We start from the raw sequence: 21,049 nt of genomic DNA, 5'->3' as shown, positions 1-21,049 counted from the left end.
AAGGTTGATTTGCTTCTCAGCAGAAAGATCAACAACATTTCAAAATGCAGAGGAAATCTCTTTTAAAGTTTCAAAAGAACTTTAAAGTAAGAATTTGAAAGGAAGGGCCAAGCCAGTATATCGAGAGATGTAAATGCTTGCAGGCTCATTATGGCTCATTCCTTAAATGAAAGCATTTTAGAACTGGAAAGCACATGAGAGATCATTGAAATTCAATTCCCACTTTTCAGAGAAGAGGAGACTGCAGCCCAGAGGGGCTGAGCCTTTATCTAACACCACCCTGCTAATATGGTAGAACTGGGATCAGAAAAAAGTCTTCCAGACTTCTTCCAATTCTGTCTGCTGCAATCTCCTTCACTTCACATCTGCCTTAGGCTTTGAAAACTATCACAGAAAATCTATTTATATACATTCTAAAATGATCTTGTATTCTTACCAACTATAATATATTCTTCACTATATTCTGTTCTAGGACTATGTTTCTTTAAAGCTTTAGAATTGAATTAAATTACTTTAAAATGTAAATTATTTTAGTAAAATCATGACTTCCTCTCTAAATTATGTTTTGTTGACAGGTTTTTGTATAATGTGATTTATCTTTACAAAAATTAAATTCCTAATACTGACAAGAAGATAATGGTCCAGAAGTACTCTGCGTGAAATTTAAAATATTTCCAGATAGACTCCAAATTCAGTGTAATAAAAGTATATTATTCATCTTCATTCCTAATTCTGTATGCCTCAGTAACACAATAAACACATCTTTACATATTTTAAATAAATGGTGTTACAACCAAGAATAGGTACTTTAAAAAAGAATGCTTCTATGCTTGGATAGCATTGGTGCAACTGAACCAGAGGACCCACAGAAGAGAACCAAGTGGTAATTCAACATAAACCACTCCAGTACATACCGAGCCACCTATATTTCATGTAAGATTTCACCTTGCCAGTAAGAATATAAGTGCATTCATCTGAAAGCATAAGATTAGTAGCAATATGACAATCACCAAGATTTATTTTTGGTCAGTGGTAAAAAAGAATTATTTTAAGCACTACCATAGTTTCTTAACATCTTAAAAAATATCAAAACATTAAATAGTGTACAATTCAACTTCTGACTCTGGAAAACATTAATAAAGTTATTTACTTTGGTTTTTTAAAAAAGTCAGTAAAAGTTATTGAATTTACTGGAATAAAAGACAAATACATTCAGAAGAATCCTTTGTGTATTTATTGACAATCCAAGTAGCAATAACCAGTCATAGATCCCAAGAATAAAAATTTGTATCAATACAGTATTATTTAAAATTCTTACATTGTGAGAACTGCAGTTTGATAGTTTTTATAGAAGTATTCCATCCTTGGGAAAATCTCATACTTTAAGATACCAGTAAAAATAAAGTAAGACAAGAAGGCAGATATTGAATTAGGAAAAACATACAGATTAATCAGTTTTACTTTTTCATTATATTAGAAGTTAGAAATTATATCTGAATTAGCAAAAAAGCTAAACAAAATGTGGTCCAAATTTATTATTTGTTTTAAAATAAATACCTATGACTCTTCTATGTACTGAATAGAGTAGAATACATTTAATTTCCAGATAGGGTGAAAATCTTCATTTAACATCATTCAAAATTTACTAATATGTCAGCACATGTTAATATGTTTATAATGACACAATTACCTGTCACTTGTCCTAAGGAAAACAAAGAAAAAAGCAAAATAAAACAAGCCTTTATAGGGTTTACTTAATTGTTCTGCCAAAGCACATCTGATGAATTGTGTAATGTACAATTCATTGAGTGCTACAATGAAATAGGGACATTGAGATATAAAGAGACACTTTAGGTGGAGTAACCAAGAAGAAAGACCCAGATACTGTCTCATATTGATGGTTCTGATTCATTACAGAAATGGAAGACTAAAGGAAGACAGGTTAGCTGTTTCCAAGTATTTAAAGGATTGCCACAGACAACAGAAGAATGCTTTGCTCTTCTTTGCTCTAAAGACCAGAGAAAAATTTCAGCTTAGTGGAAGAAAAAAATATATACATAACAAATGGAGTGTTTCAACAATAGAATATATGAGATTCTGAGGTGGGATGGGCCCCATTATAGGAAATACTTAAGCACAAGCTGACAGAATGTCAGCAATGATGTAAAGAGAATTCAATGAGCTCTATGCCGTCTAATTCTAAAGACATATATCCCTTAAGAAATTTTAAATTCAAAGTGAGCTGAATTATTTCATTGTATTGACAAACGACTTGCCTATATTCATGTAGTCACTTTTGATTATTGACTTTGGTGTTTCTGAAATAATGTAAAATCATCCTCCGCATCTGGCAAGATGCCTCCTGGGGAAGCTCAGATGGTTTTAGACACACAATGGCCTTGTTTTAACAAATATATCCTTTTCTGCAATGGCACATTCTCACTAAGTTGCACACATACACACCACTAATCTTTCACCTGTGACCGAGAAAGAAAAAAAAAAACAACCAAAGATTTCCACAGAGGATAGTAGAAATTTTATTAAAAATTGCCCAGAAAATTTAAATACTGCCAATCACATTCAACTTGAAAGAATCATGGAAGTCTCTTTGTAATTGTGAATTTTCTTTCAAATATAATTTTAAGTAAGTGGATCACTGACTAGGACTTTTATAAAACTTTTATTTGAATAATTTTCTCTTGTGGTTTCTTTACATATGATGTATTTTAAGCTTTCTGTGTTCCTAACACATTTTTATACTCGGGAAAGGTAAAACCATGTCCGAATGCTTACATTGTAAGTGGTTTTAAAGAGATCTATGGTGGTTTTTTTTTTTCTGAGATACAATTAATTTTTGGATCATTTTCAAGCTGGAGGATGTACAGAGGAACCATACTCAAAAGCCTTGTTTTTAACATATAGCCACAGAAGAAAAAGCAATTTTATGACCTGCCTGAGGCAGCTCTTACTGGCAATGGCAGAACTAAGGCGGAACCCAAGCTGCTACTGCCCAGTACACTGTCTTTATCCTCCACTGCTTAGTTCAATGTAATTCTCCCCAGAGTTGATTGAAATGCTTTCATCAGTACTAATGGTTTGTGCTCAGAGTGTACTTTATGGTATAACAAAGTAAGATTTGTTTTCTTGATCTTGTAATATTAAGACTATTGAATCAAGTCTTCTTTTATATTACTTACCTGAAGAAAATATCTTATTTCTCAAAATAAATACATAGATATTTAATATAAAAATAAATGAACAACAAGTACTGACAAACCACAATACATTTTATAACGTTATGGAGAAACAAACACATATTGATGAATCAGGCATTTGTTTATCAGAAGGAATCCATTTTTTACTAAGGAAAACCTAAGGAAAGTGGAAAATAAAAGCACCAAGAGGGGTGGAATGCGAAAGGAGTCTGCAGGTCTGCTTCCAAAACAAAGAAAGGCAGGAGAAAGAAAAATAGAATTTGCCCATAAAACCTACATAAAATGGGACTCTCACTTGAAAAAATTAAGATAAACTCCAGCACACCTTGTGCGTTGTACATGCTGACAGAAGGGTTGTTACAGACCGCCGGTTCCCCAAGCAATGTATTATAGGGATTGTTAGTACCATGCGGACGAAGCAGAGCATTGCTTATAAGATGATTAGCCATGGCTCCTGGAGCAGCCCCATAGAAAGACAGAGAAAAAAAAAAAAAGGTCAATCAGGCAAATGTGTTTGAAAAAAAGAAAGGAAACATTTAGAATGACAACAATTGATACAGTCCTGATTACAGGCAGGCAGCTAACTAGACTAAAAAAATATGCCACTTAGAGCACACATTTCCAACAATGCACATATCTGAGTCAATGGGAAAGAAAGAAAATGATTTACAATGTTGATTAAGCTACATTTAAGGTTTTATCTTTCCCAAGGTGTATGCAAGAATATATTCCCATGCTTGCTAAAAATTAAAATTAAAGTGAAAAAAAGCAAAATCTAATCATTCATACAAACAAAACACAAAACACAAAACAAAAGCCAAAAAAAAGTTTAAAACACACACAAAAAAGCAAAAATTAAACAAAACATTCCCTCATTCACAGAAACCATTGGGTTGTTTCCAATGAAAGTAAAAAAGGATAAAAGGCAACATTTATGATAAAACACTCATTTGGAGAGCAGTTGTTGACACAACAGAATTTGACATTTCTGAAATTCTATGAAGAGGAATCATTTAAGATGAAATAAAATAAAATATAATCACTCATTAGTACACCATGGTAAGCATACTAATTTGGTGATCTTACAAATCTGATAAAAAACATATAGATGCTATTTTTAAATATTTTAAATAAATTATTAACTTTATGATGTCAAGCAATATACACATATATAATTCCATTTTCCGTTTTCCATTTTCCAACTGGTTGTTTGGAATTTGACATAGCAATGAAACAATGTTAAATTCTTTCACCCTTTTGTTAATACTTTTTGTTCTTAGTTTCTAACACCATCAGCATGAGTTGCAACTTTCCATCCTCCAAAGCCATTTAACCAAGAAGCAAAGATCAGAGGAGAAGTTTTATTAATATACTTAGGACATTTATGAAAATAATAGACAGAATTGTGTATTTGTGTTAGATGAATAAAGAAAGAAAAAGTCACAAAGGAAAGCAAAATACAAATTGCATGAGAATAGTCATGTTGAACTGACAGGTATATGTTCATTTAAATATATGTATTAGAGGATGAAAACACAAGCTATAGGCTGAGAGACAGATTTGTAAAACAAATTCACAAATATTTGTAATCCAAAAAAGAACTAGTATCGAGCATGCAAAAAGAAGTCTCAAAAGTCAACATTAAAAAAACTAATAGCAACAACAAACTCTTCAATTAGAAAATGGTTCAAAAGCATAAACAGATATTTCATGGAAGAGGATATACAAGTGGCAAATAATCTTATGAAACAAATTGTTATTGGCCTTAGAGAAATACAGGTTAAAACCCCAATGAGACATTACTACATATCTAAAATAAAAATGGTGAAAAACATTAAACGATGGCAAGAATGCAGAGAAATGATTATTCATACATCATTGGTAGGAATGTAAAATAGCACAGCCGCTCTGGAAAACAGTTTGGCAGTTTCTTATAAAACTACTTGTGCAATTACTATGACACCCAGCAACTGCATTATTGAACATTTATCCCAGAGAAATGGAAATTTACATTCACACAAAAACCTGTACATGAATGCTCATTGCAACTTTATTTGTAGTAGCTCCAAACTGGAAACAACCCAAATTTCCTTCAACTGGTGAGTGGTCAAACAATCTGTAGTATTCCCATACCATGAAGTACTAGTCAACAAACAAAAGGAACAAACTACTGATACACATAAAAACTTGGATAAATCTTTAGAGAATTATACTGAATAAGAAAAGTCAATCCCAAAAGTTTACATACTGTGTAATTCCATTTATACGTGTAATGTTCTTGAAATGACAAAATAATAGAAATGGAGAACAGATAAGTGGTTGCCAGGGGTGAAAGATGGAGGATGGAGGTAAGTGAGTATTGTCATGAAAGGACAACATGACGCATCCTTGTGGTGATAAAATTATCTACTCTGTATCTTCACTATGATGGTGTAAACATGAACTTACTTTGTGGGTAAAATTGCATAGAACTAAACACATACATACAAATACAATTAACTACAGGTTAAACTAAAGAAATCTGAACAAGAGTGGTGGATTGTGTCAATATTAATATTCTGGTGTGATATTGCAGTATAGTTTCACAAGATATGAGGGAAACTGGATAAGTGATACAATATTTCTCGGTATTATTTCCTACAACAGCATGTGAATCTACAATTATCTCAAAACGAAAAGTAATCTAGGCAGGGCACAGTGGCTCACACTTGTAATCTCAGCACTTTAGCAATCCATATTAAATTAATGAAACAAAAAAAATGCCACTCCTAAAAAATGTTAAAAATGAGAAGGGAAGTGTGGGTAATAGTATTTTCAATCTTTTCTAAATTATAACTCTTTGTCAGAGTAAATTATCAGTCAACTAACAAATGTCTTAACCTCAACATTGAAAAAATGAACACCTCTTGATTTAAAGGACATTATCACTTGTCAGATCTCTAGAGTTGGAAGGCACCAGTTCATTCAGGAAATAACTCATGTGATTGCATCCTGTATTTCCTGCAAAGAATTAGCATAGAACTGTCACAGAATTTTTCACTTTCTAAGTGTTCAATATTTGCTTTCTGAAGATATAAAACATATACATCTAAATGTTCTTACATAGTGCAATGGCAGATTTTCAATCTATTGTGTAATGGGCCTATAAGGGTATTATTTTCCATTAATGAATCAAATATATGGTATTTTATGAGAAAAAAAAGAGTTCATCATGGTGCCTTTTGGACAAAAAAATGAAAAATTGTACATCTTAAACATTTATATTGTTGATGTTCTACAAATTTAAGATTAATAAGAGGATTTAGTCTGCATAGCGTATTAGAAAACCAAATTATCTGTAAATTGTACTTCCCATCTTATATTTATTATTCTAGATCTTTTTCAAGTAAAAAAGTAAAATTAGTTTTTTCATACAAATAATTTCTAAAATCATTCTAAATAAGCATTTAAATAGAAAATGAAAGGTATAAGTTAAAATGAACTAGTGTAAAAATCTTAAAAAACATAATTGCCCAAATTCTTTACACTCCCTCAAAGATTAAAAAAAGAGCAAAATGTTTATGGCTAAGGCTTACAGCTGCATCTCTCCGTATTTCCCTTCATTGCTATACATTATCTAATTTGAACTAATTGGAAAACAAATAATAAGGTAAGGAGATTGCACGCCACTCTTCTTCCTTGCTTCATATAGCTTCAAAAGTAAAATATTTCTTTGTCTTAAATACATATATATTTTTTTCTATATTGATCTAAAAGAAGATAATTTGAAAAAAGAAAAATGCACTTTTGAATAAGGAACAGTTGACTGGGAAGAATCAAACGCAAGGAAGAAGCAGATGACTCAACTTTCTGGTTTCTGTGTTTATCATTCAGTTTATTGAAAAGCCAAGAATACAAGAACAAAAAAGGATTAATCATTCAAAAAAAGAGGAGTTTCATATTGGAATTCTAATGAAACTATCAAAGATTTTAAAAATAATCTATGTGGTTATATCTATCCTGGCATAAGTTTCCTTTTCAGTTTTTGTGTAGGTGTTTTCTAATTTTTAATGTATTTTAAAAGTACTTTGATCAGTGAAACTATTAATCTGAGAAGACAGTTAGTTCTAAAGTTCATTTTATTGTTCCGTCATTTCTGCAAAGCTGGAAAATCCAGCAACAATGGCAGAAATACTATATAGCTAAGTGTATGACACAATGGTGGCTACATGGAACAATATTTAGTCTCAGCCATGTGGCTTTGGTAGGTTGCTTCTTCACATCTCAATGCAATACAGAATCAGTTATTGATCTGTAGCTATAATGAGTGTCATGCAGTCATAATTGGAGATCTATTTGCTGGTTACACTGAAACCATATAAACACTTATAAAAATTAATATAAAACTCTTAAGGAAAATGCATGTCCCTCCTTACCGTTGTTATTAAGGACCTTTTCCTGAGAAAAGAAACTAATCGCTACTTAAAAATCACTTGCTTCTTTACTGTCTAGCACTCACTTTCATGCCTCATGCACCATTTGAAATCAATGTAATTATTGTTTCTGAAATTAACTCTACAAATGGAGGGTTATAATTCAAATGAGGTCTTCAGCAACAGAAACAAAAAAGAAAGAAATGGAATTTGATGATTAGTGTTTTGCAAAGTGTATAAAACACAGACCAGCTCTGTGGGTTTGTTAGTATGAAAGAGTAAGGGATATGTCTGAGTAATCAAACAATTATCCCTCATTTGAACCACCTAATGTAAGAATTAAATACTTTTCCATGACTATTCAGGACTTGGAGTGACCTCAAGAGGACATACTTCCTATCGCTCTACCAAACAAGTACAATTTTCCTAGAAGGTACTACTATCTCATAGTTCCTACAGTCCACATTCACTAGGTAGAATGGTAGCACTGACTGTGCTGAAAACAAAACCTAGCTTGCTGCCAATGCCTAGATCTTTTAACTAAAATCTTGCACAGAAGCTGTCTTCTTCCCCCTTTTATGTGCAAAGTTACTTTTGTCTTTTCTCTGTAGCTGCACTGCATTTCTCTTGCCTTAGCTGAAGTCTATTCTGTTTGCTTTTGGCTGTCTCCCCAGGTGACTTAAGTCACTTTTAATTCTAATACTGTCTTCCAGGATTCTGTCTGCCCTGTCTCTTCCTCTTCCTTCCAACCAGCTTCTGATTTGTAAACTTCCCTTCTAATAGCTGCGAAATTGTTGAAGACTTCCAAGAAGTTCAGTGTTTACAGACCATCTGTCACTGTTTTTCAGCTGAAAAGTTGGGCTTACCGGTTAGTCAGTTTGAAGACATACATACGATGGTGAATTTTGGGGGCTCAGGGAGGACGAGATAGTTACAATATTACATATGTGAAAAGAATGTTCATGTGCTAATTTTTCCTGGAAGGGAGGCATCATGAAAAAGAAATACACAGGGGTTTTCACTGCTCTACACCAAGTGTCTAAATAATCCCTAGAACTCAAAAAATATTTGTTTAAGTAATGAAAAATGTACGTGAAATTGATGGCATCTTGAAAACATAACATTAAATCAAAGTTATTTTATCCATTATGAGTAGTCTTATAATTTTAGTAAATTTTTTAAGAGTGTCAATTGTCCAGCTCCTAATGTAATTTATTTCCTTCTAATCCTGTACCAGGTACTCTACTATCTAAACTTTAAAAGCAGAAATAAACAATCAATCATATATTATTTGGAAATACAAAAGGCTACCTGAATACTAACTGCGGATAACAACAGAAAACAAAACAAAAAACAACTCACTACTTGCCATAACTCAAAGTAAAAAGCCCAAATTGGGGTTAAAAATAAAGTGGTTATGTGAAAATGACAGCTCCTTAATTATTTAACTCACAAACTCCTGGCTACGGTCTGGTCATGCTTGCTTATTTGCTGTCAGAAACAAGAATTAGCCCTTTAATAAAGCCATGGAAAATTATTTAAGATTCAATTACAACATATGTGTATCAAGCATGGCATAGTGTCTCACACCTGTAATCCCAGCACTTTGGGAGGCTGAAGTGGGTGGATTACTTGAGATCAGGAGCTCGATATCAGCCTGGCCAGCATGGTGAAATCCTGTCTCTACTAAAATACAAAAAAATTGGCCAGGCGTGGCGGAGTGTGCCTGTAGTACCAGCTACTCAGGAGGCTGAGGCAGGAGGATCACCTGAGCCTGGGAGGCAGAGGTTGCAGTTAGTTGAGATCACACCACTGCATTCCAGCCTGGGCGACAGAGCAAGACCCTGTCTCAATAAATGAATAAATAATAAAGAAAAACAATATATGTGAATCATTACCATGGTTGTCAATAAAAGGCCAAGCACAAAATTTTTATTTCTGATGAAAGTGAGATACAAAGCAAAACCGATTTTCGTATTCCATATTGAAAAAATTGGAGAAGTTTCTTTACCACATATTTAGAAGAAAGTCAGATCCTAAAGCCACTGAAATAGATTCAGTTAAAATCATAGTCATTTTAAGAAAGTTCTCTTCTTTTTTACTTTATACCTGAAGATCTAGACTGATACAAAAATTGTGAATGAGTGAATTTTGAATGAAATAATGAGTCACACCCTTCTCTAATGTATAGTTTTAACACAAAACTGTGATATTTCTTTTCTTATGAAAATAGAATAGGTGTTTTGACATTGGGAGGCCCTGAATGACAGCACTGTCTGGGATGGTTCAGTGTAATATATGTAACTGAGGACTGGAAATCTAAGGCTGAATGATGTGCTTTGAAACTGTAAAGTAAAAAACAGATCTGAAAAAGGATGACAGTTGGATCTCACTTGAATCTATCATTCAGAAACATAATTCAAACAACGCTTCTTCTTGACAGCAGGCTAACAAAAGTATACTGAAAAGTTCTTAAAATAACTTGAATTGCCACTCTACTCTGCCCTCAGACTTTATTTTTTTTAATGCACTTACATTCTTGTTTGATCATATTGAATGGCCAAAGTTTTAGAATTCAAAACCTTGGTGATGTAATGAACTAACTGAATACAACCATTCATCAATAGTCAGTCATATAGCAATATGCCTCAATTTTCAAATTCTTATTTCATAAATATTTAAGATGGCAAATGTCCTGTTTGCTTTATCCTAATAAAATAGTTTTACTCTGATGGTTCTTCATTCCGGTCCATCATGTTTCTCTCTCCTTTGTCTTGACATACATTTCTTATGAAGTCATTTCTAATATATACATTAACGTATATAAATTAGAGTTTTGCATAAAACAGAGTTACTATTGAGTGATGTCTCTCTGTTTTTGTTTTCAGACCTTAATTTTGGCCCACAGTGGAGACTTCATTTTTTAACAAGTAAAAACAGTCTTTCTAATGGTTGTATCTTCTATGGCATTAGAACACCAACTTCAGTGTAAAGCAAGGGATCTTTCACAGGGAGATGAGATCTATGAAGTTGGGAAATCCTTAACACTGCATGTAAAATGATTTAGGTATATGTTTGTACACTAAATTGTGCACATTCACATGTCTGCACTGCCTTCTGATGAAAGATTCCAATGGCTTTTATTTTCTTTACAAAGAATTAAAAAACTGGTATAAAGGAATAAGAGGTAAGTTTCTTTCCTTAGTGAGTAAAATATAATATAAACAAGAAAACTGAAAAAAATAAATTAGAAGTACTCCAAATATATATTATATTTATATCACCTAATTGACCTTAAGATTGCATTATGGAGAAAGGTTATAATTCAGAATTTATAACTGAATAAGATTTTTAACATCATCTAATCTACCACCATTATTTAATACATAAAGAATCACAGGCTGAGGTATTTATAATTTATTCAAGGTCACACATGACCTCTGGTAGTTTTATTTAAATATATTTAAATCTGTGATTTTCAAAATTTTTTTAAGATCCTCTTCCTCAAAAAATGTTTCAACGTAATTTTATTAGGAGCCTTGTAGGAGTTCATTAATCTTTCCATATACTTTTTGATAATATTCAATTACTTTATTTTCATATTCTTGTATTAAATTATATAAAATAAATGAATAAAAAAGAAAGTAAATAGACAAAAGAAGAGGCTTCTAGAATTACAGAGAACAGATTCAATAGGCATTGTCTATTTTAAGTATTTTGTTTCCTATTTTTAGCTTTTTGGTGTAGCAAAACAATATCAACACACATAAACAATCTACAGAAAGTACAAACAATGATTAGTTCAACTTTGTCGGGCTACTTTATAAAACAGGAATAACTATATAAATCAATACCAAGTCACTTATTAAAAAAAACAACGAATAGAATCTACATGACACCTTTCAAAGTTACATAAGTTTTAAAATCACAGAAACCATAATTTTAGATTTTAATGTTTTAATTTGAACAATGACATTACAGAGTCAAAAAAGAAATATTTTACTGAACGCTAAGAACTCTTTCATCATTTTTTTCTAAAGTCATAAATTGAAGAGCTGACATCTTGATTTATCACACTGTGCACTTTTAATAGCCAACAAGTTTGCTATTAAATTTTAATCAACCTGCCTATTAAATTTCATTCAAATGGTTTGGAGATACTTCAGCTTCTTTTAATAGCTAATTCATTCACTGGGAATCCATTAGTATGGATTTCAATGACATATTTTCTCTAAAGTACAGATTAAGTTATTGTTAGTTCAATATAAAATGACATAGTCTGATTTCAGAGGTGTTGCCTCTGTTTTAACATACAAATCCGAAGATTCAGAGTTGGGAAACCTAGAAGTTACCTCTTCAATTGCTCTTATTTTGTATTAATTGGCTACATATGTGTCTTCTTGTCCAGACATATGAGCTTTTCCACAGCAAATACTTAAAAGTCAAATTGCTGGGTCATATCTTGTGCACATTTTCAATTTATTGAAGTAACATATTGCCTAAATGCTGTCAAACCTGTTTATACAATTCACTTTCCCATGAACAGTGCACTTATTCTCTCAAATTCTTGCTAGGATTTAGCATTGTCAGACTGACATTTTTGCCAATCAGAGTATGAAATGGTATTTCATATCACTGTTATACTCTGCATTTCTTATTACTATAAAGGTAGGTAATTTTTCATATGTTTATTCGCTATAAGGGTTTCTTTTTTGTGAGTTGCCTGTTCTTATCTTTGGCCCACATTTCTATTGGGCAGTTGAATTTCATTTATTAATTTGTAGACATTCTTTATACAACATGGGCACTAGCATTTTGTTTTTTATATATGTTGTTTACACTTTCTCCCAATGGCTTATGTGTTATGAGTACAGTTTCAATGTTGAGAAAATGATCTTATCTATCTTTTTCTTATAGGTGTGATCATTATTATTTTGTTTTTAAAAACTCCCTCTTTAATCTAAAATCTGAACTATAATTTTTGAAGTTTTAAGGTTTTATATTTAATATTTTTCCATATTATGCAACACAACACTATCATATTGCAAATGAGAAAACTACTGTCATTAGATATTCAATGACATTATTCATATAATTAGCTAGAAACCAAAGCTCTTTAGAGATTTTAGGTTTTCCAACTGCTTAAGCCAACAGTGGTAGGATTGAAACTCAGAATTGTTGGTGAATCTGCTTCAAAGCAAAGTGGTTGGTTTGCAGAAGTGAGGGACTCTTATTAGTAATTTATTAATCTCTAAAGCTCATCTTTTGTAGTCAAAGCCATGTATTTCTGTGTTCTTTTAACTTGAACATTTTGAATTCTTTTGCATAGTACTCAAAGAATACTGAGTCTGAAAATCCTGGGGCAATTTTCCTTAACCACAGGCAAAATAGCAGTAAACCACAGTTCTTTTTAGTAAATCAAAGGCACTTAGCAAAAAATATTTATCTTTGTCATTCACACAGTAGCAACTCAATTCATTTCCTCTAAATCAGATTATTTGATAGTCTGCTAATGGTATGTAGTCAATCCTATAGCTATATTTATCTGTTACTCACACATTGCTTGTGAATTTGTGCTGAAATAAAACAAAATGCAGAACAAATGAACATATTATTAATAAAGACAAAATAATTTACCAAAGTGAAAAAAATATGACATTTAGTATAACTCACTGCCCAGTATTGGTGTATTTTTAATATTGTGCAAATTATATAATCTTACATGCAGAAGGTCTGTCGTGACTAAAATTTGATCTTTTAAATTGGAAGCTATATTTGAAAAGTGTGTCTGAACAAAATAGACATGAATTCAAATAAGGTATCCGTGAATAAAGAGATTTTTGATAATGTTACAGAAGGCTTATTTTATACTATGATCATAATCAGCTCTGTTCTATTTAGACTGAGGCTGATTCAGGAAACATATTGTTTCTATTTTTCTAAATCAAGATTGACTATCTTCCTTCTATCTATATATCCTCTCAAATCTTTCGTAATTCTCCAGTGATTTTCCAGGGTTGTAAATTACCTTCTATGAATGTGGTAGCTGACTTGTCTTACATTCTGAAGCGGCCACATTCCTTGTTATGACAAATTATGAAGAAAGCTTATTATAAAAAATCATAGGAGAAGCTATCACATAAACAATTAAACTTTTAAATGGCATGTAGTATATAAAGCTGAGCTATATAAAGTGCTAGCCTTTGTATGCAATTCAACAGGAGCTAATTTAATCAAATACTACCCAATTATTGGTTGTTACAATTTAAGTACTTTCTTTCCAATGAGGCCTTTTTCTCTTTGCTAAACATATATCCTCCTTTCACATTTTAATTTTTTAGGTAATTGAATTAACTCCCATTTACCTCACAAAAGCAGACAGAAATTAATACAGCCTATTTCTTAGAAAAATAATTTGAACCAATGATGACTCTGTTAGAATTAACTTTGAATATTATATATGGTATCTATATCATCACAACCTTTATGTTTACAATATTAGCAGGAACATTTTTCCAGATGAGAGACACAGTTCAAGTTTTATTTGTTTTAAAATTTTGAATTATAAAACATATCATAGTTTTTGTTAAAACCAGAATTAGCAATACAATAATAAAAATTTTAATTTATAATATTATCACTGAAATTTCAACTGAAATATATATTCTACTTATTCCAGGCATTACTGTATTGTCCTGACAGAAATGGGCACAGCTTCAAAAAATATCAAATTCAGGAGCACAAAGATCTGGGAAAAGCTATATCTTTTTTATTACTACAAGATTATAGGGAAAAGCTCTTTACCTGTTTTTCTAACATAATCTTTGCCCTCACCAAAATATTCATCCTCGTACTGAAATATAAAAATTTTAAATTAAAATAAAAAATATTCTACAAATAAAATACTTTGAAAGCTTCCAGGAAAGAAGAATGACAATGAAATTCTTCTTACAATCTAAGCCCTACAATTGGACAATAATATATAATAATTCAACATATTCTATATCAAAAATAGTTTTGTAAAAGTAATATGTGGCTTGCCAATCTATATCCTCATATATTCAGTTTTTTCAAGCATTTTTTTCCTTACACGGATAGGAAGAATCCACTCTAAAAAAACTGTGCTTAGAACAAAATAAAATGGAAGCAAATGAATAGTACAGGAAGGAATTTTAGAAATAAAGACGTGAATAACTTCACTGTTAAGAATATCTATTTTCCATATTAGGTGATAAAAATAAAGGTCACTTTGAAATACTTCCTTCAAATGACTATATCTATATTCTAATCTTCAACTTCATGAAAAATTGTCATTATATGAAAAGAATGAATGTTTTTGTTATCCTGTATAGGGCTTTGTGGTCTGAAAGACCTTGTTTGGCATCTAGATGTTGCCTTTAATAGTCATGTGATCTTGGACAAGTTACTTTGACTACCAAGAAACTCAGTGTCTTTATGGATATAAAGAAAATGGATAATAAATAATGAACAGAGTACAATATGCAAATGACTACACACACACTAAAGGAGAAACACCAAATTTATCAACAAATACAAGGAGGCATATTGTGTTCTATCAGAGAAAAGAACACCAGCAACTCCTAAGTTGGAATCTTCACACTTAGCTCTAAAAATAGGAATTTTTAAAAATTACATCCTCAACAACTTACATGAAACAAATAGTAATATTTTAGAGCTAAGTGGAAATATTCTATAGCACTTATATTTAGAATTTATCAAGGTAGCTCACTGAAGCTTGTTTGATTCACAATAGAGGTAAGAAATACTGCTCATAATATGTGAGGTAATAACGTAATAAATCAAAAAACGTGAGGAAATTAAATACAATTTTTAAAACCTCTCTTTTTAAAAGGATCTATGAGAGCTTTAGGTTAACAATAATAATAAATACAAACTGTTTATTATTGTTTAGTTGGCTGTGAGAGACTGGATTACTTGGATGAGTCATATCAGAGACAAAGTTGAACACAATGCATAAGAAGGACGTGCTGAGTAAGCAATAAGAAGATTTTTTTTTTCTTTTTCAGATCCTGCCAACGATTTATAGCCAAGGACCTTTGCCCTGGATTGATGGACATCAATATTTCATATATTTCATTTTGCCACTTGAATGGAGACTTAACTCTGAAAATTATTTGGCTTCCTTGGGTTAAAAACCTGGATATTAACAGCCTTGTTTAATTATCTGACTCAGCATCTCACTTAAAAAATCTGAGCCTATTTTGCCTTTGTGTTATTAAACTGATTTTCCTAACACAGGCTTCTTTATTTTATTGTTCCTTTTCTGATTGTTTCTATCAATAACATGTACATATATATCCTTTGTGTATGTATGTATATATATATATATATATATACACACACACACACGTTCTTTGTGTATATATATATACACACATATATATACACATATTCTTTGTATATATATATCCTTTGTGTATATATATATACACACACACAGAACGCTGTTGCCTCATTTACACAGAATATAAAGAACAAAATTATAGACATACTAGACATAAATATAACAGTAATTCTCAAAATAAAAATTTACCTATGTCATTGAATACTTATATTTGCATTCATATCAGTATAATGCTTGTTCAAAATAAAAATAGTTTGTTATTTGGTTACACTGATTTGTTAACTTGCATAGCTAACATTATTAACTGTTTTTGCAAATTTCATAAGTAGATGTCAGATTATATTAGGAGCTGGTTAATATTTACAACCAATGATTTTATAATCCTTCAGAACAGCAAAGCTTTGGGGCAATACAGACTATTTTATGCATATGAGTCAAATTATATTTATTGACATTAATAAACTACAGTGAATGAGTATGAGTGTTTTGCCCTAGTAGCTTTAATTTATATAAATCATTAATTGCAGTGAAACATCACTTAGATTTTTTTCATTTGCATTTTTTCTTTAAAAATATAAAAGCAAAATATGTTTAGAAGCCTGAATATTAATGGAATGGCAGGTGATTTATTTTGAAGTTTCTTCTGCCTCAGTGACCAACCTCCTGGGAAAGACAATACATGCTCTGAGAAAACTTTTGTTAAAAACGGTTCTGAGCCACATCCCTGCTCCACTACATAACTGGTTATTTAGAAGAGCTGTCTGAATTGGAATAGTGTTCTCTAAGCTTCTGAAGGGAGAGGACAGGACTTAGAAGAAAAGTGAAGGCAGTGTTTGCTTATGTCATTATCTAAGGTAGGGAGAAGAAATATATTACCTTTATTTCTTTGATGCTAAAACATGGTTATAAATCAAAAGTGGGAAATACAAATAAGCAGATGCAATGTGCATTTAATTTCTAATTTAGAAGTGACAATTCAGTTTTATTATTTTATTTTTTTGTTAGCCTCCAGGGTAGCACAATCTATTATTATTTATTTTACTTGGCATTCAGTTAACCACTTCATTCTTCCCACCGCTGCAAAATAAAAATGAAAACAAAACTTCGGTAGTGAATGATGGGTTTTAATATCTGATTATTTGAAGGCACTAGCAAGGGCAAGTTTTCATTTTTTAGAAAGTATAAGTGAACTTCTGAATAAAACAATAATAATAATTACGTTCCAGGCCCTGCTGTAAGCAATTTACATATTAATATATTCATTTACTCCTCTCAAGGACCTTCTGAAGTGACAACTATTTATTTACCTGTTGCATAGACCCTGAGAAGTTAAGCAATTTGCCAGAGGTCTCTGGATTAAAACTCAGGTGTCCATTCTTAGAACTATTAATGCAAAACTAAAATGAGTAGGTCAACTACTTGCAAATATCTATTTGATAGCAGCATCTTTCCCCTCTGTATCAACCATACTCCTAACAGGTGGGGTCACTTTTCAGTAGGTAGTAATGCCACTAGCTACGAGCCAAAATTTACCCTTAAAAATCTATGAAAATAAATCCATTGTCATAGGAAATCGCAATTTTACCAATTACATATATTTACTGAGAATGCTTCTGCAGATTAATAAAGGTCTGAACTCTGAAAAGAGAATCCATCAGCATTTATAAACAAGTGCCACACATCTACAGATCAGTCTTCCTATATATAACAACTAAATTTGGCTTAAATAAATATACCCTTACTAGTCAGATCTCTATGCATAAAAATCTAAATCAAATTAACTTGTGTGGGAGGTTGACAAGATGGAGGATAGGAGATCAGGGAAAAATAAAAACCCATGATGCTAGCCAAGCAATTGTTCCAGAAGAAAACAAAATGCCCTTTTTTCTAATTCTACCACTCAAATTGAATATTTTTACAATAACTTCAGGGCTGGGGTGGGAATGGGGCACTCTTTTGTGATTCAAAGATCCATATTGGTAAGAGCTACTTAGCAAAACTTGATTTTCACATGGAAGTCTCTAACCTCATTCTAACTAATTAAATAAAAAGAAAATGAAAAATATAATATTTATGATGAGATAAAGCCAATAGATAAAATATTTGTGATGACATAAAGCCTAACAAATATAATATTTACAATAAGATAAAGCCTAATTTCAGAAAATATCCTAATTTCTACATAGAGTTAATAAAAAAGTAGAAATATTTAACAATTCATGCCACTGTCAGAGGAAATGTCTCAGTAAACATTTCATTTTTGGATCAAACTGAAGTTTTAGAGGTATTGTTAATCTAAATAGTTCAAGGCTAGGCACAGAGGCTCTTGTCTGTAATCCCAGCACTTTGGGAGACTGAGGCAGACGGACTGCTTGAGGCCAGGACTTCAAGACCAGCCTGGGCAACACGGCAAAACCCTATCCCTAAAAAAAGTTAAAAAAAAAGAAAATGGTGTGGGAGCCTCTAGTTCTAGCTACTCAGGACCCTGAAGCACGAGGATCACTTGAGCCCAGGAGTTTGAGGCTTCACTGAGCTATGATCATGCTATTGCACTCCAAACAGGGTGACAGAGGGAGACCCTGGCTCAAAAAAATAAAAATAGCCGGGCGTGGTGGCTCATGCCTGTAATCCCAGCACTTTGGGAGGCCAAGGCGGGTGGATCACGAGGTCAGGAGTTCAAGACCAGCCTGGCCAACATGATGAAACCCCGTCTCTACTAAAAATACAAAAATTAGCCGGGTGTGGTGGTGTGTGTCTGTAATCCCAGCTACTCAGGAGGCTGAGGCAGGAGAATTGCTTGAACTGGGGAGATGGAGGTTGCAGTGAGCTGAGATCATGCCACTGAACTCCAGCCTGGGCAACAGAGCAAGACTCTGTCTCAAAAATAAATAAATAAATAATAAAATAAATAAAAGTAAATAAATAGATAAACAGCTCAAGATAAGATTTGACCTGCAGAAATTATTGGTAGGAGATATGGGTGGCAAAGACTACTCTAGCTGCAAGTCCTTTCCACCACTACCAGAAAGTTGGAGTTACTAGAGATTTGAATTAGATTTCCAACAGCCCTGGGAGGAGACTGAGGATTGAGTGCTGACTACACCTTCAAGGTATCAGCAAAATAGTAAATATTTAAATGAACCAATGAATAAACCATCCTGAAGTCCTATGAGTTTGTAAAAACTTGGGTCTGGCCTAGAGTTCATCTTTGTTGAAACTCTCTATAATCAACCATCACCTTACAGCTCTTCTAAAGCTCCTTCTACTTGTGCACATAGTTGGATCGCTAAAGTTAACTTGATAGTAGTGCTGGCCTATTGGCCTCAAGGAATTCTGAATTTGTCTAAGTGTGTAACATTGTGCCAAACAAGTTGGCTGGAGAAAAATATTTGAAAATATACAGAAAACATTTTGTGAAACACCTTCATATTTATAGATATGCGAAGTACAATTTTAATGAAAGATTTTAAAGAGATAAAGTGATGAAACAACAAACTTCCAAAGAGAATATAAAGGAATTAATATACTCATTGAAAATTATTATATCAATAAATCTGCCAAGGTTTCACATGCTTCCAAGGAGTAAAATCCCAATAGTAATCAAATTTATCACATTGGGAAATCTAGAAAGGTAATCTCATACTTATGATACAACAAGCTGATTCAAGAACAGAATATTTGAGATGGTTTAAAAAAATAAATACCATTGAAAAGTAGTTCTACACTGCATGATGTATTCTTTATTCCTAATGGATCCTAAAGATGATAATGATTGATTCTTGTTTGTAAGAATAGATGATAAGACATACAAAATTTTAAAATAATACTCTTTTAATGAATTAACCAGTAGAATGAACAGGGAAGAAAACCTAAAGTAAAAATAGGACTAATTTTTGGAAAACAGCTTCTCATTTTCAAGGGTCAGAACTATCTTAAAGACAAAAATAAGAGATTCAATACATCTAACTTACCAAGAAAGGAAAATGGAGTCTGAATTTAAAAAAAAACACTATCTATAAAAAACTAAATGAATTGGAAGTTAGAATATATGAAGATGTAAAGATGTAGTATCTAGATTTTTATTTTAGTAATAGAGAATATAATCTTTTGAATAAACAGAAGTGAATAATTATGTTGCTTAGGTGACTGTTTATCTGAAAAGATGAATCTTCGATGTCACCTACCTAAATATGATACACACGCCTGAATGCAGGGAAGATAAGACCCTGGGAAATAAGACAAGATTAAAGAAGGAGGTTAAAGACTATCTTCAGAGACATAATATGAAGAAACAAAATTTCAAGTAGTCCACTCATCTAAGATAAAAAAATAAGATGAGAATAAAACTAGGAGTTTCTGACTTGAGGGGGACTAAGAAATTAATCCAGGAAATGAAGATCACTATGACTTCTAGCACAAATAAAGTCACTAAGTGAAAGGAAGAATATATATCCTGATGAAATGATCACTACCTGGGCACCCTTTAAATTATAAATGCAATTTAATTCTCTACACAAAGTCATCATTAAATTAATTTATTCAACGTCACAAGAAATTGTATACCCTTCCTTTAACAGCTGTATGAAATATCTTTTAAAACTAGAGATTTTGATAAACAGACTTAAACATATGACCGGCCAATATAAACTAATATTATTTCCTTTAAATATATTTCAAATTGATCCAGTTATCCACAAATCACTATATTCAAAGTTGATTAAATTCTTGAGAAGCAATTAAAAAGGAAGAAACTAGTAGCGTTATATAGTGATTAACTTTAAGCCCATAAATAGTTTGCATTCATAGCAGTTTTTACTGAACTGACACACCTTACTATCTTTACATGAATTTAGACAACAATATTAGACAAAATAATTTTACATATTTTGTTTATCCTAATATACATACAATTCATCATTAAAATCATATTACCTCATTCTTTGTTTAATCAATAATTATTCAATGGCTTCCGGGATCATTAAATGAAAGATAGTTCTATCAATAAATCCTATAGGTAAGGACAGTTCTCTTTCTTG

At 31.8% G+C, this 21,049-nt stretch overlaps 1 protein-coding gene across 59 annotated transcripts in view; it reads right to left on the bottom strand.

Moving 5' to 3' along the window:
- The window catches only part of ADGRL3 (adhesion G protein-coupled receptor L3), an 878,010-nt gene that overhangs the window by 11,162 nt on the left and 845,799 nt on the right, over positions 1-21,049 (bottom strand). For 10 of the 59 annotated variants that reach the window (NM_001387526.1, NM_001387527.1, NM_001387546.1 and 7 more), the window contains one exon: positions 3,541-3,669. The exons of 47 other annotated variants lie outside the window; for them this stretch is intronic. In NM_001387526.1, the coding sequence (NP_001374455.1) occupies positions 3,541-3,669 (129 nt within the window). Of the gene's footprint in view, positions 1-3,540; positions 3,670-19,831; positions 20,240-21,049 lie in introns of those variants that run through there. 2 more of the 59 variants (XM_047449944.1, XM_047449945.1) reach the window with 1 other exon arrangement.

The sequence above is a fragment of the Homo sapiens genome, chromosome 4, assembly GCF_000001405.40.
Source record: "Homo sapiens chromosome 4, GRCh38.p14 Primary Assembly".
Taxonomy (NCBI): Eukaryota; Metazoa; Chordata; class Mammalia; order Primates; family Hominidae; genus Homo; species Homo sapiens.
This window is presented reverse-complemented; position numbering and strand designations above follow the sequence as displayed.